This window comes from Homo sapiens, chromosome 16, assembly GCF_000001405.40.
Source record: "Homo sapiens chromosome 16, GRCh38.p14 Primary Assembly".
Taxonomy (NCBI): Eukaryota; Metazoa; Chordata; class Mammalia; order Primates; family Hominidae; genus Homo; species Homo sapiens.
This window is the reverse complement of record NC_000016.10, coordinates 68,817,149-68,838,946: the sequence shown is the minus strand read 5'-3', so window position 1 is coordinate 68,838,946 and position 21,798 is coordinate 68,817,149. Positions and strand designations below refer to the sequence as shown.

The 21,798-nt window shown below is 45.2% G+C and overlaps 1 protein-coding gene and 1 pseudogene across 4 annotated transcripts in view; both read right to left on the bottom strand.

Moving 5' to 3' along the window:
- Positions 3,410-21,798, bottom strand: part of CDH1 (cadherin 1) — a 98,246-nt gene continuing 79,857 nt past the window's right edge. For 3 of the 4 annotated variants that reach the window (NM_001317185.2, NM_004360.5, NM_001317184.2), the window contains 6 exons: positions 19,522-19,667; positions 16,722-16,946; positions 15,321-15,548; positions 10,643-10,773; positions 9,150-9,293; positions 3,410-5,657 (listed from right to left, as the gene is read on the bottom strand). In NM_001317185.2, the coding sequence (NP_001304114.1) occupies positions 5,448-5,657; positions 9,150-9,293; positions 10,643-10,773; positions 15,321-15,548; positions 16,722-16,946; positions 19,522-19,667 (1,084 nt within the window). In that variant the 3' untranslated portion in view covers positions 3,410-5,447. The remainder of the gene's footprint in view (positions 5,658-9,149; positions 9,294-10,642; positions 10,774-15,320; positions 15,549-16,721; positions 16,947-19,521; positions 19,668-21,798) is intronic. The other variant, NM_001317186.2, reaches the window with a different exon arrangement.
- FTLP14 (ferritin light chain pseudogene 14) lies at positions 15,715-16,498 on the bottom strand (annotated as a pseudogene).

The window sequence follows — 21,798 nt, the reverse complement described above, 5'->3', positions numbered from 1 at the left end:
CCATGGACTTTTTCAGAGGTTAAAATTTCCAGCCTGGGCAACATGGTGAAACTCCATCTCTGTAAAAAATATAAAACTTAGCTGGACATGGTGGCACATGCCTGTTGTCCCAGCTTCTTGGGAGGCAGGGTGGGAGGATTGCTTGAACCCGTGAGGTCGAGGCTGCAGTCCAGCTTGGGTGACAGAGGGAGACCGTGTTCCAAAAAAACCAAAATTACCTTGCTGGTACAGACCTTCGCACATAGTAAGTACTCTGTAAACAATTTAATTTTTGTTTTGTTTTGGAGATGGAGTCTCGCTCTGTAACCAGGCTGGAGTGCAGTGGCATGATCTCTGCTCACTGCAACCTCAGCCTCCAGGGTTCAAGCGATTCTCCCCCCTCAGCCTCCTGAGTAGCTAGGATTACAGGTGCCCGCCTCACGTTCTGTAATTCCAGCACTTTGGGAGGCCAAGGAGGGTGGATCACTTGAGGTCAGAAGTTCAAGACCAGCCTGGGCAACATGGTGAAACCCCATCTCTACAAAAATTCAAAAAAATTAGCTGGGCATGGTGGCACATACCTGTAATCCCAGCTACCTGGGAGGCTGAGGCAGGAGAATCACTTGAACCCGGGAGGCGGAGGTTGCAGTAAGCCGAGGTGGCACCACTGCATTCCAGCCTGGGCGACAGAGCAAGACCCCATCTCAAAATAAATTAAAAAAATTAAAAAATATTATAAAATACATAGAAAAAAACAAAACAAGTGAACAAGTGCTGGGGAGGATGTGAAGAAATCAGGTATCTGATAAGGGATTAATTTCCAGAATACATGTTTTTAAAACTCAACAGCAAACAACCCAATTCAAAAACGGATAAAAGGATCCATATATATGTATAAAATACATATTTTTATATATTTATATATTTTATATTATATATATTTATTTTTGAGACAGAGTCTCGCTCTGTTGCCCAGGCTTGAGTGCAGTGGCACAATCTCTGCTCACTGCAAGCTCTGCCTTCCGGGTTCACGCCATTCTCCTGCCTCAGCCTCCTGAGTTGCTGGGACTACAGGCACCCGCCACCACGCTCCGCTAATTTTTGTATTTTAGTAGAGACGGGGTTTCACCGTGTTAGCCAGGATGGTCTCCATCTCCTGACCTCGTGACCCACCCGCCTCGGCCTCCCAAAGTGCTGGATTACAGGCGTGAGCCACCAAGCCCGGCCCCAAAATATCTTTTTTTCACTGCAGGCCAGGCGCGGCAGCTCATGCCTGTAATCCCAGCAATTTGGGAGGCCAAGGTGGGTGGATCACTTGAGGTCAGGAGTTGGAGACCAGCCTGGGCAACATGGTGAAACCCTGTCTGTACTAAAAATACAAAAATTAGCCGGGCATAGCGGTGAGCACCTGTAATCCCAGCTACTCGGGAGGCTGAGGCAGGAGAATTGCTTGAACCTGGGAAGTGGAGGTTGCAATGAGCCAAGATCGTGCCACTGCACTTTAGCCTGGGTAACAGAGCAGAACCTTGTCTCAAAAAATAAAATAAAATAAAAAATAAGGCCGGGTGCGGTGGATCACCCCTGCAATCCCAGCACTTTGGGAGGCCGAGGCAGGCGGATCACGAGGTCAGGAGATGGAGACCATCCTGGCTAACACGGTGAAACCCGTCTCTACTAAAAATACCATAAACAAACAAACAAACAAACAAACAAACAAACAAATAAGCCGGGCGCCTGTAGTCCCAGCTACTCGGGAGGCTGAGGCAGGAGAATGGCGTGAACCCAGGAGGCGGAGCTTGCAGGGAGCGGAGATCGCGCCACTGCATTCCAGCCTGGGCGACAGAGCAAGACTCCGTCTCAAAAAAAAAAAAAAAAAAAAAAAGCCAGATGCAAAAGGATGATTAAAGGAGTCTACATACATGGAAAGTAGAATAGTGATTAGGAGGGGATGGGTAGAGGCAGGAATGGAGAGTTATTGCCCACTAGATACAAAATTTATTTGGAATGATGAAAAAGTTCTAACACCAGAGCTGATGGTTATACAATATTTTGAATGTACTTAATACCACTGAATTGTACACTTAAAAACAGTTGAAAATAAATGGGTACAGAGTTTGTCTGGGATGATGAAAAAGTTCTGAAGATAGTGGTGATGGTTGCAACACAATTTGAATATACTTAATGTCATTGAACTGTATACTTAAAAATGGCTACAATGAGGCCAACGTGGTGGCTCACTCCTGTAATCCCAGTACTTTGGGAGGCCAAGGAGGGCAGATCACTTGAGCCCAGGAGTTCAAGACCAGCCTGTGCATCATAGCAAGATCCCTGTCTCTACAAAACAATTTTTAAAATTAGCTGGGCGTAGTGGTGCAACACCTGTAGTCCCAGCTACTAGGGAGGCTGAGAGAGGAGGATCATTTGTGACTGGGAGATTGAGGCTGCAGCGAGCCGTGATTGTGCCACTGCACTCCAGCCCGGGTGACAGAGTGAGACCCTGTCTGAAAACTTAACAAAAGGGCTAAAATCATAAATTTTATGTTGTATTTTACAATAAAAAATTACCCAAAGAAAAAAGTCATACCCCTTCAACAGAGAAAAGTTTTAGGCTTACACCAGGGTTTCTTAACAGTGGCTGACATTTTGTGCTGGATAATTCTTTGTTGTGAGGAACTGTCCCGTGCAGGGATGTTTAGCAGCACCCCTGGCCTTGATGTGGTGACAAGACCACCTCCCCAGGTACTCCAGAAATTGCAAAATGTCACATGGAGGAGGGGGCTACATTCTTCCCCAGCAGAGAACCACTGGCCTGTACTCACTTGCTGACCCCGAGAACATCGTTTGAAACTTTGCTCTGTCCCGTCCTTCAGCTTGGCCCACACAGTCTCCCGTGGACATGGGAATTTTATTGGTTTCATCACATGCCACATGGATGGATACTGTTCAAATAAAGTTACCATGTGAATGTAGTTTCTCCCATGTTCATCCAGTAGAATGATAGAAACTTCTGGAGAAGTCACTTCAGCATGAAGTTTTTTAAAAATTTTTTTATTTTTTTGAGATGGAGTCTCCTCTGTCACCTAGGCTGAAGTGCAGTGGCGCAACCTCGGCTCACTGCAACCTCTGCCTCCTGAGTTCAAGTGATTCTCATGTCTCAGCCTCTCGAGTAGCTGGGACTACAGGCGCGCGCCACCACGCCCAGCTAATTTTTGTGTTTTTGTGGAGACAGGGTTTCACTACGTTGCCCAGGCTGGTCTCAAACTCCTGAGCTCAAGTGATCTACCTGCCTCGGCCTCCCGAAGTGCTGAGATTACAGGCATGAGCCACCGCGCCCGGCCTCTTTCTCCACGTTTTGACTGAGGCCATCTCCATGCATCTTTTCTCTTGACTGGAAATGTGGTGGAATCAAATAAAACAAATTTGACAATGGTTTAACAAAATTGTTTAATAAAATTTATAAAAATGCATCTTTGAGAATACTTTTCTCAGCTTGAATTGTTTTCCTTTTCCACCCCCAAAGAAAATACACAATTATCAGCACCCACACATGTATACACTCAAAACTACAGTGACATTCTCTACACAGAACTATATTCGATATAGCTTGAACTGCCGAAAAATCAAGACAATTCCAAAAAGTGATTGCAGGGTTGATTTTTTTCTCCAAAACACTTGAGAAACAGTAAAGCTATTTCAACAAAAGTCTTTTCTTTGATTGTCAAAAGTTGAAATTCACATTTAAATAAAAAGAGATCCAAATCAAGATCCTCACTACCCCCTACCCCTCAACTAACCCCCTTTAGGGCCACATTTTCTTCTTGCTCCTAAGAAAAAAATTTGGAATTTTGAATATTCTCGGTTTTCTGTGCACACCTGGAATTGGGCAAATGTGTTCAGCTCAGCCAGCATTTTCTGTAGACATCATCAAAAGCAGGCACTTGGGGATTCTGGGCTTTGAGTACAAACCACGGATCTTGTGTCAGAAACACATGTTGAGACTCCTCCATTCCTTCCAGAATTTTCAGAGATGAGGTAGACCCACCTCAATCATCCTCAGCATCAGTTTGCTAAATTGCCAGGCTCAATGACAAGCTCTCCTGCCATCTCCAAGCCCACTTTTCATAGTTCCGCTCTGTCTTTGGCTGCAGCACTTTAGGCACTATTCTAAGTCCTGGAGTATATCACTCTTGCTTCAGAGCTAAATAAACATTAATGAACACACTTACTCAGAACAAGTCACTGGATAGCTGCCCATTGCAAGTTACATACTCAGGAGATGAAAGAGGGAAGCCATTAAAGGTCTTCAGAGTAGACAATACCTAGTCAAGATGTGGCCAGACAAAGACACAAACTTCTTACCCTAAAAGAGCCCAATAATTTCTGCATCAGAGAACTCCTATCTTGGGCAAAGCAACTGAATTCAGGAGTGAGAGTTGATATTAAAACATGGAGGCTGGGCACAGCAGCTCATGCCCACAATCCCAGCACTTTGGGGGGCCAAGGCAGAAGGATTGCTTGAGGCCAGGAGTTTAAGACCAGCTTGGGCAACATAGCAAGACCCCATCTGTACAAAAAAATAAAAAGGAGGCTGGTGGGAGAACTGCTTGAGCCCCAGAGTTTGAGGTTACAGTGAGCTATGATCACATCACTGCATCCCAGGCCTGGGCGATGGAGCGAAACTGTCTCTTAAAAAATGGCAGGGAGTTGGGGAGCTGGGCAGGTGCAGTGGCTCATGTCTGTAATCCCAATACTCTGGGAGGCCAAGATGGGAGGATCACTTGAGCCCAGGAGTTTGAGACCAGCCTGGGTAACACAGGGAGACCCCGTCTCAAATATTTAAAAAATTAGTCATGCGTAGTGGTGCATGCCTGTGGTCCCAGCTACTTGGGAGGCTGAGGTGCAAGGATAGCTTGAGCCTGGGAGGACAAGGCTGCAGTGAGCTGTGATTGCACCACTGCACTCCAGCCTGGCCGATAGAATGAGACCCTGTCTTAAAAAAAAAAAAAAGGCAGAGGGACACACCAGTGTAGTAATGAGCAGAAGCACACAAATTTTTTTTAAAAAATTATATACACAAAACAACAGAACTAGAGTAGCTGACTTCTCCCCTTCTTTTTAAAAGTGAGACAAAATTCCTTAAGAAAATCTGCAAGGTGCTGGGTGAACCTTCTGATGCTAAAGTTGTTCTTCTGGAATATTAAAATTTGGGTATCTTTTGGACATCACCACCATGTAAAGAGTGATGGGAAAAAAAAAAAAGCTTTAAGAAATAAGTCGAAACTTTTCTAACACAAACTTATTAGAGCTATAAAGTGGAGAGAGTATAAAGCTATACTAACTGCATCACTAACCAGTCTCTTTTTTTTCCCCAGAAACTCATCTCAAGGGAAGGGAGCTGAAAAACCACCAGCAACGTGATTTCTGCATTTCCCAGCACATGGGTCTGGGGCCCGCCTCTCTCGAGTCCCCTAGTCGTCCTCGCCGCCTCCGTACATGTCAGCCAGCTTCTTGAAGCGATTGCCCCATTCGTTCAAGTAGTCATAGTCCTGGTCTTTGTCTGACTCTGAGGAGTTCAGGGAGCTCAGACTAGCAGCTTCGGAACCGCTTCCTTCATAGTCAAACACGAGCAGAGAATCATAAGGCGGGGCTGTGGGGTCAGTATCAGCCGCTTTCAGATTCTAAAGAAGAAGGGACAAAAGCATCTTTTAGTGAAAGGAAGGGCACACCTGTCATCTGGGGCAAGAAGTCTAGCAATATGTAAGGTACGACAATGCACCCAGACTTGTGGCACACCACGGAGCAGTGAACACCAACAACGTACATTTATACACACTGTCATGGAAGGATGCAGAAGCACAGGATATGTTGTTGATGGAAAGAGAAAGTGAAATGGTGAGTTATATGTAGGCAGGAGAGATGCAAGCACCAACCAGTCAGGATGGAGTCCCCATAGATCAGAGTGGGGCTGCCACACCACCAGCTGGGATGGGCAGAGCTGGAAGCTTTGCATACTGGTGCATGCAGGCTGCATTTCCACCCAGAAAGGCCTGGAAGGATAAATGCCAAATGCTTAACAGTTAAATCTGGGGAGTGGGGGTGTGGGAACTAAGGAAGGACTTGTATTTTTTTTCTTTTTCTTTTTTTTTAGAGACAGGGTTTCACTCTTGTCACACAGGCTGGAGTGCAATGGTGTGATTTTGGCTCACTGCAACATCTGCCTCCCAGGTTCAAGCGATTCTCCTGCCTCAGCCTCCCAAGTAGCTGGGTCTACAGGCATGCGCCACCATGCCCGGCTAATTTTTGTATTTTTAGTAAAAACGGGGTTTCACCATGTTGGCCAGGCTGGTCTCTAACTCCTGATCTCAGGTGATCCACCTGCCTCGGCCTCCCAAAGTGCTGGGATTACAGGCGTGAGCCACTGCACCCGGCCTTTTCTTTATATATTTTCATTTTATGAAATAAATAAAGTATATTTATTTATTTTGAGATGGAGTCTCAGAGTCTTGCTCTGTCACCAAGGCTAGAGTGCAATGGCATGATCTCGGCTCACTGCATCCTCCACCTCCTGGGTTCAAGCGATTCTCTGGCCTCAGCCTCCTGAGTAGCTGGGATTACAGGTGTGTACCCCCACACCATAATTTATATTTTTAAAATAGCAAGCATACTTAAAAAAAAAAAAACTTTTAGGTTTGGGAGTACATGTGAAGGTTTGTTATATAGGTAACAAATCGTAAACTCATGTCATGGGGATTTGTTGTACAGATTATTTCATCACCCAGGTATTTAGCCCAGTACCCAGTAGTTATCTTTTCTGCTCCTCTCTCTCTCCTCCCTTAAGCGAACCCCAGTGTCTGTTGTTCTCTTCTTTGTGTCCATGAGTTCTCATCATTCAGCTCCCACATATGAGTGAGAACACGTGGTATTTGGTTTTCTGTTCCTGCATTAGTTTGCTAAGGATAATGGCCTCCAGCTCCACCCATGATCTTGCTTCCTCAAAAGACATGATCTTGTTCTTTTTTAGCATACTATTTTTATAGTTTAAATAAAAACTGCAAATACAAGTGATGACTTGCAAATGAGTATGAATGGAGGAAAGGCCTGAATCCAGATGTATCTAAAAGGGGTCTGTAGTCAGGAGCGGTGGCTCACACCCATAATCCCAGTACTTTGGGAGGCCGAGGCAGGGAGATCACCCGAGGTCAGGAGTTTGAGACCAGACTAGCCAATATGATGAAACCCCATCTGTACTAAAAATAGAAAAAGTAGCTGGGCGTGGTAGTGGTGCCTGTAATCCCAGCTACTTGGGAGGCTGAGGCAGGAGAATCGCTTGAATCTAGGAGGCAGAGGTTGCAGTGAGCCAAGATTACGCCACTGCACTCCAGCCTGGGCGACAAGAGTGAAACTGTCTCAAAAAATGAAAATAAAAATAAAAATAAATAAATAAATAAAAGGCATGGTTAAACTGGTTTCTTTCTGTTTCTTGTTTTTTCCAGTGGCTAAAATGAATGTGGCTTGATCACTTCTAACACTGCAGTGCCTCACAGTCCTCAGTGACAGCTCCCATAGAAAGCTAAAGCAGTCCGGGCGTGGTGGCTCACGCCTGTAATCCCAACACTTTGGGAGGCCAAGGCAGGCAGATCACCTGAGGTCAGGAGATCGAGACCATCTGGTTAACATGGTGAAACCCTGTCTCTACTAAAAATAAAATTAAAAAAAAAAAAAAAAGCCAGGCTTGATGGCAGGTGCCTGTAGGCACAGCTACTCGGGAGGCTGAGCCAGGAGAATGGTGTGAACCTGGGAGGTAGAGCTTGCAGTGAGCTGAGATTGCACCACTGCACTCCAGCCTGGGCGACAGAGCAAGACTCTGTCTCAAAAAAAAAAAAAAAAAAAAAAAAAAAGAAAGCTAAAGCAAACACAGACCTCACCATGAAGACTCACCGAGGGCCACTGGACCATCAGACAAGCCCAGAAAATCATTCCAGTAACCAAGCAAGTTACTAGAGAACATAACTTAAGGAAACAGATCCTGCTGGACCATTTCTTTACTGGGTTCTTTCTCATCTTATCCTAAGCTAATTAATTTAATGCCTTGTTATTCTCCCTTGCAGACAGGCACAACCTTCTGATAGTTCTGGCCAATAACTGGTTGGACAACTCCCTTGTTGAATAAGAAGACAGTTTGCTAGAAGAAAGACTTTTGCCCTCTGCTTTGTTCTTCATACTTTTTCCTGACTGGAATACAGACTTAAGATCTGGAAGTGTGGCAGCCATCTTGTGATCATGAGACAACAAGCCTGAGAAGAAGGGTCTACGTGCTAAGATGATGGAGCAGAAACATGGAACAGCCTGATGCACTGGCCTAGACTGCTCACCCCAACTTTCTATTTGTATAAGATAAATCTACTCCCATCTGTTTCAGCATCTTGTATTTAGAGCTGAATGCATTTCTGACATATACAATACAGATTCTATTTTTCTAATCCTCAGGTAGGCTTGTCATGTACATTTATCATTATATCCCAACCAGCAGTGGGAGGCAAGGGAAGTAAATTCCATTAGTGAAACTAAAATGAAATTTACTTAGAATCTTCCTAGTTTCATTTCTAGATCTACTAAATCCTTTCAGGCAATTGTTGGTTTTGCCACATGGACTTTGCAATTTGAAGCACGATTAGATCCAAAATTCAGATGAGACACAGATTAAGAAAAACAGGCTGCCAGGTGCGGTGGCTCACACCTGTAATCCCAGCACTTTGGGAGGCCAAGGCAGGTGGATCACCTGAGTCAGGAGTTAGAGACCAGCCTGACCAACATGGAGAAACCCTGCCTCTATTAAAAATACAAAATTAGCTGAGTGTGGTGGTGCATGCCTGTAATCCCAGCTACTTGGGAGGCTGAGGCAGGAGAATCGCTTGAACCCGGGCAGAGGTTGTGGTGAGCAAAGATTGCGCCATTGCACTCCAGCCTGGGCAACAAGAGTGAAACTTCGTCTCAAAAAAAAAAAAAAAGAAAAAGAAAAAAAAAGAAAAAGGAAAACAGGGCTCCAGGGCTCAGGCAAGCTGAAAACATAGTAAAGGAAAGAATCTAAAGACTCTTTTTCTCATTTTTGACACAACTCCTCCTGAGCTTAGAGATGAGCCATGCTTTGGCTTTCCACGTGGATTACTTACTTCATCAATAAAATTTCCAATTTCATCGGGATTGGCAGGGCGGGGAAGATACCGGGGGACACTCATGAGGGTTGGTGCAACGTCGTTACGAGTCACTTCAGGCCGAGCGTCCAGGCCCCTGTGCAGCTGGCTCAAGTCAAAGTCCTTTGGAGAAAAAAGGTTGAAGTACAATGAAGAGTAGGAAAGAAATAGTCATACACACAGGGCTATGTTCAGTTTATAGATTATGGTTGGATGATGCCTTCACTGCCAACTGTATGATCTTTACCAGTTTAATGCAAAATGACAGTTTTCAAGCTAAAAGTCTCCCAAATAGCACTGGAAAAAAACATGGCCCAAAGGATTGTGAGTAGCATGTGTGGATCCAGATATAGGCTGTGTGCCTTACTAATTTTCATAGGACATGATGATTAGATCACTGTTTGGCAAATATTCACTCCCTCCCAACCCCAGCTTGTGAGAAAAGTATACATCCATCGATCTGGGGCTTTGTTGTGTGACTTGCTTAGCCAATGGGACAGTAACATATGACACAGGCAAAGGTCTGAAAGGCACCAGCTTCTGGTACAAAGATGAGACTTGCATGGAACAGACCTGGACACAATTCACAGGTTAGAGCCATTCAGCTAAACTCTGCCTAAATCTGCTGAGCCCCAGCCATCCTACAGATTCTCATGAGCTTAGATGAGACCAGCAGTTGCTCCAGCTACCCCACGGTACATGAGAAAGATACGCATGTTGTGTGCCGCTGAGATTCCACGATTGGTTGCTCTATTGCTCACTGATACAATATACGTGGTATCCCCAAACTAGACTTACAAGTCCCTGAAATCTAGAACAATATTTTTCTCTGTACACCCACCTCCCTATGTTGTATGGAGCTCAGTAAATTGTGCCTCACTCTGTGGCCTCAGTCAAAAACAGGACTCTGTAATAGACCCCCATGGATCCCTTTCTATAATAAGTAGGCTCTCCAAGACACTGAACAGTTCCCTGGACAACTCCAGGGTAAGATGTTAAGATCATCTCCAAAATCAGGAAATACAGAGGGACTGAAGGTATAACCATGACAGAAAAGGAGTTTGGTCTAGCTAAAAACTCAAAAGAAACAAAGCAGACCAGTTGTTCTATGTCAAAGAGAATCTGGCTGAAGTTCACGTCCAGAGAATGGCAATGAGGAAGGCAGGCTCTGAGACAGACCATTTAGCCCTGTCGCTTCCTAGCTGTGTGACCTTAGCCAAGTTACTGAGCTTCTCTGTGCCTCAGCTCGCTCACTGAGGTGCAGAACAGTATGCGATCAATAAATGTTAGCTGTGTTGGTGATGATGTGATGATGATGATGGTCAATGACAATGTCTACTTTCTTGGGTAAGGCCTTAAAAAGATAATATCCAAAGTGATTCAGAGCTGTTTCAAATGCCTACCTCTTACTAATCATTGCTTCTTCCGAATAAAGAGATCACCACTGAGCTACCAAGGTTTTCAAAACCCACCTGGTCCTCTTCTCCGCCTCCTTCTTCATCATAGTAATAAACGTTGTCCCGGGTGTCATCCTCTGGGGGCAGTAAGGGCTCTTTGACCACCGCTCTCCTCCGAAGAAACAGCAAGAGCAGCAGAATCAGAACTGGGATGGTGGGGGAGACAGAGCAAGTGTTGAGAGCCAAAGATAAAGAAGGCCAGAAGCAGCAGCTATCACAGAGCACCCCTCATACCAGACAGGGGGCAGTTAGACAGCCACTAGCTGCCTTCAATACACTTGAAGATGTCAATCCACGTGACACTCACATCCCTGAAGTCGGTATGTACAGTACAACATAGTAGACAGTGATATGTGAACTCAAGCATGGTCCTTAACTTTCAGATGGGTTTTAAACTCAATCACTGTCATTTTCCCAAATCTGGGGGAAAGTGTTCCAGGCAGAGGAAACAGTAAGGACAGAGGTCCTGAGGCAGGAGGAGCATGTTTGGTGTGATGGAGGGAAGGTGAGGAGGCCAGCATGGCTGTAGCAGGGTGCATGAGGGGAAGAGACATGGAGAAGAGCTCAGAGGGGCAAGCAGGGCGGGAGGGACATATGGGCCACTGTGAGGACTTTGGCTTTGATTCTGAGTTGGAGCCATTGAAGGTTTGTGAGCAGGGCTCCTAGGTTAGCCCAAATGTGATTGATACATAACCAGCTATGGGGAGTGGGACAGAGACTATAAAATTGCCTGGTATGTTCTTATTTTCTCTTAAGATAGAATCATGTAAGCAAGCTTTAAAATCTATTTAACTTCCAAGGCTTAACACAAGGGTTACATTTGATCTTGGGATTATTTCTAGGATATACACAATTAACATTTAACTTTAAAAAAAAAATCTCTAAAGCAGCCAGAAAGAAACCACTTAACTTAGAAAATACATATATTATTCACTGTGAATGAAAAAAAAAAAGATTCCATGTGTTTTCTATCCATGGGTGCCCAAGTACCTATATACTGTACCCTATGAAGCATAATCTTTATTTATTTATTTATTTATTATTATTTTGAGACAGAGTCTCACTCTGTTGCCCAGGCTGGAGTGTAGTGGCGCAATCTCAGCTCACTGAAACCACCACATCCTGGGTTCAAGTGATTCTCCTGCCTCAGCCTCCCAAGTAGGTAGGACTACAAGCACCTGCCACCATGCCCAGCTAATTTTTGTATTTTTAGTAGAGACAGGGTTTCACTATGTTGCCCAGGCTGGTCTCAAACTCCTGACCTCAAGTGATCCACCCACCTGGGCCTCCCAAAGTGCTGAGATTACAGGCGTGAGCCACCACGCCCGGCCGAAGCATAATCTTTAAACAGGAGGTTGCATAAACTTGGGGAAAAGATTTCTCAGATGTACCTCAACTACCTATTTCTAAAACCAGAAAAATGCCAGAAACCTTATCCAGATAAACAGCATAACTCCCTTGTCCATGATTCATCAACAAGAACACTGAATTGGCTGCACAGGGAGACAGCACTGAACAAGACTATAGGAGCTACACAGTCCCCATCCATGCAAAGCAAGAGGCAGTTTACCGTTTCCAAAATGACCCCTCTTATCAGCTGTGCCAGAAGCCCAGTATCCGCAGGCTCTGAGAAAAAGCCTGGCACAGAGTAAGCAATCAAACATTGGCGGAAAACATGAAAAGCTTCAGATCTCCTGGTGTCTCTCTAGTAATTTTTTTTAATAGAGATGGGATCTTGCTATGTTGCCTAGGCTGATCTTGAAACCTAGGTTCAAGCAATCCTGCCACCTCAGCCTCCCAAAGTGTTGAGATTATAGATGTGAGCCACCGTGCCCAGCCTCTAGCACATTTGTGCCCTTAAGAAACAAGAAATTGGCCGGAGGAGTGGCTCACACCTGTAATCCCAGCACTTTGGGAGGCCAAGGTGGGAGGATCACTTGAGCTCAAGAGTTTGAGACCAATGTGAGTAACATAGTGAGAACCCATCTCTAATAAAGAAAGAAAAAATAATCATAGAAGTTAAAAATACAAGAAATTGAAATTGAACATCTGAACTCTGGCATTGCCTCTGTTTTAAATGTTGCTCTACATGGGAATCCCCACCCCCAGTGTCTAAAAAAATACATACCCATAGCAAATTTAGGTAATCCTATTTAAAAAAAAAATATTTCAAGTATAACTACAATCTTTAAGATTCCCTGGCTGGGCACAGTGGCTCATGCCTATAATCCCAACACTTTGGAAGGCCAAGGTGGGAGGACTGGTTGAGACCAGGAGTTTGAGACCAGCCTGGGCAACATAAGGAAACACTGTTTCTACAAAAAAATATTAAAAAATTAGCTGGGTGTGGTGGCTCATGCCTGTGGTCCCAGCCACCCAGGGGTCTGAGGTGGGAGGATTGCCTGAGCCCCGGAAGTCAAGGCTGCAGTGACCTGAGATCTGAGATCACTCCACTGCACTCCAGCCGGGCCCACAGAATGAGAACTTGCCTAAAAAAAAAAAAAAAAAAAAAAAAAGATTCCCTTTAGAATGAATGTACTGGTCAGTAACCACTATACCAAAAGCAGACCAGGCCACTGAAATGTAATTTGACTAGGAAGTGGGCAGGCAGGGCTTGTGTTACCCTGCCCAAGGCAATGATGAATTAACCTAATCTCATGGCACAATAAAGCCATGTAAAGCCTGGCAGGATGAAAGTCCAGAAGGCTTGCTCAATTCTCAACAGCACTATCCTTTTCTTCAACTTTGGGAGGACACCAGGAGGGGGCAGAAGCAAATGGGATGCCCAGCAGACATTTCTGGAAGGTTGAAAGGCACCCTCTCCTGGAGTCCACTGAGGCAGCAGCAGCAGGATCAATGGCACCCATGCTCAATCTAAATTGAAAACCCTAGATTTGGTCCCACTGCTCCCTCCAAAATTCTTTTTCCATTCCCACCAGCTTGGCCTGGTCTCTGCTCTTCTAGGAGTCTCCTCAAGCCTCTGCTGTGCTTTGCTAGGAGGGGAACCTTCCTAAATACCCATCTGCCTGTTGGAATTCTACCAGCCCCTGTGGCCTAACCACTTACATCTTCCACAAAACTGTCCTTGAGACTCAATTAACAGCCTTTTCTGACTACCCTGACTACAAAGGCATTCATGAGCTGGACCACCCCTTGCAGTCACTAATTATATATGATCTTTAAACATTTCTTTTAAAAAATTTTTTTTAATAAAAAAATGTATTTTTTATTTTTATTTTGTAGAGACAGTCTTGCTTTGTTGCCCAGGCTGGTGTCAAACTCCTGGCTTCAAGCAATCCTCCCACCCTGGTCTCCCAAAGAGTGAGCCACCATACCAGGTCAAAGGTTTCTAATTGACTTGCTCTCATTTGCTGTGATAATCATTTGCTTGCTCTTCCATCATTCACATGTTTAAAGCCCTACCAGAGTTCTGATGTAGTGCACTCCTCCATATGGATACTTTGTCTTTTGATGCACATAGTCTGTTTTCATCGCTAATTTATTCCTTTAATAGATTCAGTACTTTCTCCCTGTGTGTAAATGATAAAAGTATTTACCTTGACCATAACAGCTCCTGTGTCACCCCTAGGGCTCACTCCAGGTGGGCTCCAATGGAAACAGGTTTAAGGACTATGGCAGAAACTGCCAATTTTCCTCAGCATCCTTTTTCTCCTTTATCCTTTTAGTCATTGACACTCACTGCTCACCCTACACTCCACCCCTACTCCATGTCAATTTTCAATTGTAAGTAGAAGCTTCCAGGTTCCCTTGCAGCTAGATGTGGCTGTGTTTGGGCCAATGGTATATAAGTGGAGGTGATATATGCAACTTCCAGTCGTTTGGCCTCCACTTCCTCTGTTATCCCCTTCCCCAATCTAGGATGGAATGTAGAGGTGGTGGTGGTGAGCTGGCTAGCTTAGACCACGCTGATGAGGGCAGCCCCCAAGGTCTTGCTACTCTGCCTATGGTCTAAGGAACTGCAACATCAGTACCGCCTGGGAGCTGGTTAGAAATGTAGAATCTGGCCGGGTGCGGTGGCTCAAGCCTGTAATCCCAGCACTTTGGGAGGCTGAGGCGGGTGGATCACCTGAGGTCGGGAGTCTGAGACCAGCCTAACCAAAATGGAGAAACACCGTCTCTACTGAAAATACAAAATTAGCTGGGCGTGGTGGCACATGCCCATAGTCCCAGCTACTCAGGAGGCTGAGGCGGGAGAATCGCTTGAACCTGTTAAGCAGAGGGTGCAGTGAGCTGAGATCACACCATTGCACTCCAGCCTCGGCAACAAGAGCGAAACTCCATCTCAAAAAAAAAAAAAAAAAAAAAAGAAATGCAGAATCTGTGGCCCTATGCCAGACCTCCTGGATCAGATTTCCCAGTTCAAAAAGAGGCCCAGATGATTTGTATGCTCTCAAGCTTGGGATGCACTGTCTTGAAGAATGAAAAGAGACAAGGTAGAAGAAACCTGGGTCCCCTGTTGACTTCATGGCCTTCCCATCTTAGACCATTTACCTCTGAAATGTTCAGTAAGAGACAAACTTCTATTTTATGGAGGCTGGCATAACTTGGGAGTCTCTTTCCCACATCAGCTAACCTATATCCTTATTAATATAAGAACAAAAATCATTTCCAGGAAATAAACCTCCTCCATTTTTTTAAGTCAAAGGCTGAGTCACTTGCCAGCTGGACTTACTTAGCAAAGCAAGAATTCCTCCAAGAATCCCCAGAATGGCAGGAATTTGCAATCCTGCTTCGACAGGCTGTGCCTTCCTACAGACGCCAGCGGCCCCTTCACAGTCACACACGCTGACCTCTAAGGTGGTCACTTGGTCTTTATTCTGGTTATCCATGAGCTTGAGATTGATTTTGTAGTCACCCACCTCTAAGGCCATCTTTGGCTTCAAAATGATAGATTCTTGGGCTGGAGAAAGCAATAAAAAGAAATGATGAGACCAGGGGAGGAAAATAAAAAGCTCATTCCAGAATAAAATTGCTAGTGAACTAAAGACACCCGCAAGCCGAGTGAAGAGAGCAGAGCTGCTTGGGTTTTATTTAGGTATGTACTTTTTTTTTTTTTTTTTTGCTGTAAAAAGCTTTATTTCCATTTGGTCTAAGGCTTGGGAGAGGGCTCTAGAGTTGGTTTAAAAAAGCTGCCTAGTGGCTGGAGGGAGAGGCTTAGGCAGAGCGGGGCTCTTCAGATGTCGCTGGGTTCGGTAGGCTCCCGTGTGCCTGAGGGTGAACCTTTTTGCCCAGCCCGGCCTGGAGGCCGGCTGGCCTGTGAAGGTTGGTCAGGTGGTCACCTATCTTCTTGATGAGTTTTACTTTTTCATCTAGGAAGTGGCTCTCCAGGAAGTCACAGATATGGGGGTCTGTGCAGGTGGAACCCAAGGCATGAAGATCCAAAAGGGTCCAGTTCAGGTTCTTCTCCAGGGCCAGAGTGACTTCCATCGCACCCAGGGTTTTACCCCATTCATCTTTACATGGCTTCTGGATGTCCGGGAAGACAGTGCGGCCGCCACACTGGTTTTGCATTTTCAAGGGACACTCAGCGCCCTTGTGCTTCTCCTTGGCCAATTTGTGGAAGAAGTGGTGCACACCTTCCAGATCCACATCGTCATGGTGGAAATAGAAGCCCAGAGAGAAGTAGGTGTAGGAAGCCCATATATGCAAATTGACCAGGCAGTTGACAGCTGCCTCCACCTCGGTAGAATAGTTCTGATGAATCTGGGAGCTCACGATTGGTTGGCAAGAAGGAGCTAACCACAAAAATGGTGTTGTTTGGTCCCAGGAGCAGGAGGTAGCAGAGAAGATGGTCCTGGTTGCAAGTGGAGAGGGGAGTGGAGGGTGGCTAGAGGCTGGGAGAGGGAGCCCTGCTTGGGTTTTAGATTACTGGGTAGCATGCTACAAAGTTAGATACCAGGAAAGGAAAAAGACCTTTGGAGCAAGGCCTCAAAGACAGAAGGGACAAGGAAGCAAGTATCAATGGAAGGGGTGACATCTAGAAGTTGAGAAGGGAAATTGAAAGGTGGGGATCTGGGGGAAGGGAAGCATGGCAGTTGGAGCAAAGTTGCCAAAATAAAACTCAGGTACCCACTTGGGTCGTTGTACTGAATGGTCCAGTTGGCACTCGCCCCGTGTGTTAGTTCTGCTGTGAAGGGAGATGTATTGGGAGGAAGGTCTGCATCAATGATGTTTATGACCTGAGGCTTTGGATTCCTCTCACAGAAGAATATAGTTCGAGGTTCTGGTATGGGGGCGTTGTCATTCACATCAGACAGGATCAGCAGAAGTGTCCCTGTTCCAGTAGCAACTGGAGAACCTAAGAGAAAATACACAGAAAATGTGGCAGCTTGGCAACAGTAATGAATCCCCATTGCCTTCCACCAGACCAAGTCTAGATCTTGTCCTGGCTCTTCAGTGGTCCCTCACCAGGCCCCACTCCACCCGCAGAACCTCCTGTCCCACCAATCCCAAAGGACCTCCACTCCCAGGTGGGCAGGTCTCTGGCCGTTTTACACAGACAACTTATTCCCACCTTGATAACAATTATTCAAGTTATTCCTCACACCAAGAACACACTCCTCCTTCTTCACATATCGTTATTCATTCACTGAATTTTAACTACTCCAAGAAGTCCTATTGCCTGCCTGTTGTTTCCCTAGTTCTCCTTTTTCTGCACTTTCCTGCCATTTGAGGTCATTAACAAAGCATTGAGTCTTTTTATTTATTTTAATTTTAAGCCTGACTAGAAGCTTAAAATCAAAGGGGATGAGTTGGGTCTTTTGAAGTCTCTGCAAATTGGTTTTCAAAATAGATTGGGGAGTTCACATACGCTTTTTTTTTTTTTTTTGAGGCAGAGTCTCACTCTGTCACCCAGGCGGGAATGCAGTGGCATGAACACAGTTCACTGCAGCCTCTACCTCCTGGGCTTAATCTCCCACCTCTGCCTCCCTAGTAGCTGAGACTACAGGCGCATGCCACCATGCTTGGCTAGTTTTTAAATTTTTTTTGTAGAGAGGGGGTCTTATCATGTTGCTCAGGCTGGTCTTGAACTCTTGAGCTCAAGTGATCCTCGCATCTTAGCCTCTGAAAGTGTTGGGATTATAGGCGTGAGCCACTGCGCCCAGCCCATCCACACTTCTGTTTGCATTTCTTTTATATCTTGACACAACACGGAGCATATGGTAGTAGGAAAAATTGGTACCCAGGGAACTATCATCAATATTAGTATACGATACGGATACAAAACAACAGAAGAATCCATCTCAAACCTATAAATAGATATGTCTAGATGGCATGACTGTAAATTTTTAAAACTTTTTTCTCATGTAAATTTTATTTTTTAACAATGAGCACACGTCATTTAAAATTAACTCAAGGAGGCCAAGCATGATAACTCATGCCTGTAATCCCAGCATTTTGAGATTATGGGCAGTATGTTGCCCAGGCTAGTCTTGAACTCCTGGCCTCAAGCCATCTCCCACCTCAGACCCCCAAAGTGTTGGGATTACAGGTGTGACCCTAGCACCCAGCCTATAAATGTATTTAAATACACAGAAGCAGTCTGGAAGGACCCACACCTAACTGATTTAACACCTAACTAATTTCACCCACATGGGTATTAACATTTTTCAGGTAAAGGAATTGAGGGACATAAAAATTAAACAGCAGGCCAGGCACGGTGGCTCACACCTGTAATCCCAGCACTCTGGGAGGCCAAGGTGGGCAGATCACAAGGTCAGGAGTTCAAGACCAGCTTGGCCAATATGGTGAAACCCCGTTTCTACTAAAAATACAAAAAATTAGCTGGGCGTGGTGGTGCACACCTGTAATCCCAGCTACTTGGGAGGCTGAGGTAGGACAATTGCTTGAACCTGGGAGGCGGAAGCTGCAGTGAGCCAAGATTGCACCACTGCACTCCAGCCTGGGTGACAGAGCAAGACTCTGTCTCAAAAAAAAAAAAAAAATTAAACAGCAAATCCAAGGTCACACAAGTATTAAGCTTTGGAAATGGATTGTAAACCATCATTACCTGGTTCCCTTAGGGAAGGAATAAAGAGTGAGTAGTGAAAAGTAAGTTCTGTTTGACCAAAATTACTTGAAAAAACAATTTTTTTTTTGGAGACAGAGTCTTGCTCTGTTGCCCAGGATGGAGAGCAGTGGCGCAATCTTGGCTCACTGCAGCCTCCACCTTTCAGACTCAAGCAATCCTACCACTTCAGCCTTCTGAGTAGCTGGGCCTACAGGTGCTCACCAACACACTCAGCTAATTTATGTACTTTTTGTAGAGACAGGGTTTTGCCATGTTACCCAGGCTGGTCTTGAACTCCTGGGCTCAAGTGATCCTCCCACCTCAGCCTCTCTAAGTGCTGGGATTACAGGTGTGAGTCACCGTGCCCAGCCCACTTGAATTTTTGATAATAAGAATGCCTTTGTTTAAGAATAAAAGAGAAATCTTTTGCAGCAACATGGATGAAACTGGAGGCCATTGTCTCAAGTGAAACGAATCAGACATATAAGGAGAAATACTGCATGTTCTCACTTAGAAGTCGGAGTTCGATAATGTGTACACATGGATGTAGATTGTGGAATGATAGACAATGGCAGCTGGGAAGGGTCCAAGGGGTGGGAGGGGGTAGATGATGAACAATTACTTAATGGGTACAATGCATGTTATTTGGGTGACGGATACCCTAAAAGCCCTGACTTTACCACTACACATCTATGCATGTAACAAAATTACCCTTGTACTCCATACATTTATACAAATCAATCCAGCAAACAAAAAGGATAAAAGAAAAAGAATGAACTCTTCCCTCCAAAAGAAGGGAGGGGCAAGGAACTGAACTAGCTAGGAGGTCGAGGCAGCAAAGGCTCAGATGAGGCCCCCTTACCATTGTCTGTAGCTATGATTAGGGCTGTGTACGTGCTGTTCTTCACGTGCTCAAAATCCTCCCTGTCCAGCTCAGCCCGAGTGGAAATGGCACCAGTGTCCGGATTAATCTCCAGCCAGTTGGCAGTGTCTCTCCAAATCCGATATCTGAACGGGGACAAGCTCTGGCTTTTAGAATAGGACCAGCAAACAACATGTAGCTGAAAACGGCTTAAGCGCTTCTTCAGTTATATGGTTACTTCCAACGTTTTTATTTTGAAAACCAACAATAGGCCGGTCGCGGTGGCTCATGCCTGTAATCCCAACACTTTGGGAGGCTGAGGTGGGCAGATCACCTGAGGTCAGGGGTTTGAGACCAGCCTGGTCAACATGGTGAAACCCTGTCTCTACTAAAAATACAAAAATTAGCTGGGTGTGGTGGCACACGCCTGTAATCCCAGCTACTGGGGAGGGTGAGGCAGGAGAATCGTTTGAACCTGGGAGATGGAGGTTGCAGTGAGCCGAGATTGCACCACTGCACTCCAGCCTGGGCAACAAAAGTGAAACCCTTTCTTTCTTTTTTTTTTTTTTTTTTTTTGAGACGGAGTCTTGCTCTGTAGCCCAAGCTGGAGTGCAGTGGCGCGATGTCGGCTCGCTGCAAGCTCCACCTCCTGGGTTCACACCATTCTTCTGCCTCAGCCTCCGGAGTAGCTGGGACTAGAGGCGCCCGCCATCACGCCCGGCTAATTTTTTTGTATTGTTAGTTGAGACGCGGTTTACACCGTTTTAGCCAGGATGGTCTCGATCTCCTGACCTCATGATCCGCACGTCTCGGCCTCCCAAAGTGCTGGGATTACAGGCGTGAGCCACCGCGCCCGGCCGAAACTCCGTCTTTAAAAAAAAAAAAAAAAAAAGAAAACCAAGAAAACCAACAATACAACAGACAAGTTACTATAATAGTATGATGACCATCCATGAACTCTTCACCTGAGTTTACTCATTGTTAATACTTTGCCACATCTGCTCTGTCTATATTGACACACGCCTACATAATTTCTTGTTCTGCTGAACCATCTGCAAATAAATTGCAGAAGTCATGTTCCTTTACTTATAAATATGTCAATGTGTTATCTCCTAAGAACAAAGGCATTCTGTTATATAACCCCAATTTGATTTTCTTTTTTTTTCTTTTCTTTTTTTTTTTTTTTGGGACAGAGTCTCGTTCTGTCGCCCAGGCTGGAGTACAGTGGCGTGATCTCAGCTCACTGCAAGCTCCACCTCCCAGGTTCATGCCATTCTCCTGCCCCAGCCTCCTGAATAGCTGGGTCTACAGGCACCCGCCACCACGCCCGGCTAATTTTTTGTATTTTTAGTAGAGACGAGGTTTCACCATGTTAGCCAGGATAGTCTCGATCTCCTGACCTCAGATGATCCACCCATCTCGGCCTCCCAAAGCACTGGGATTGCAGGTGTGAGCCACCGTGACCAGTCTTGATTTTCAATTTTAGGAAACAAAACTTTGATAGAATTCTATTGTCGAATATATGGTGCATATTCGAATTGTCAGATTTTCCAAAAATGTCCTTTATAGCAACCTTGCACCCTTCTGGATTCAGGATCCAATATGGCCTTTCGTTGGCATGGCTCTTCCTTAGGTCTTTCTTTTCTGTCACTGACATTTTTGAAATGTGCTGGCCGTTGTTTTGTAGCATGCCCCTTAACTTGGGTTTGTCTGATTATTCCTCAAAATTTAGATTCAGGTAATCCATTTCAGGGGTCGGTGGGGGCAAGAACAGGACAGAGGTGATGCTGTGGCCTCCCTAGTGCAGGACACTGGGAGGCACATGATGTCTGTCTGTGCTTCTATTGATAACTTTGATCACTTGGATAAGGGAAAGGCCACCAGATTTCTTCACAGCAAAGGTGCCTTTTTTCACTGCATGATTAACCTATAATCTGCAGGTAGATAATTTGAGAATATCTTGTTCAGCAACTAATTTTCACCCAATGGATTTGGCATCTGTGGATGATTCTTGCTGAAGCAATGATTACTATAATCCTTATTTATTTTTAAAAGCAGACTCCTGCAGACCAGCTCCCCCAAACAATACAGTAGTTCCTAAATGGTGGCAACATGCCACCTCCTCTCCTGTCATGAACATCTGGAGATGCAGGTTGCCCTGTTGACCTGTGGGTGGACTGCACTATTGCCATTTAATGGGAGGTACAGGGAGGCTAACAGAGATCTACTGCTCAGTTATTTACTAGGGTCATGGAAAGGCTCTGAAAGAGAAACTAA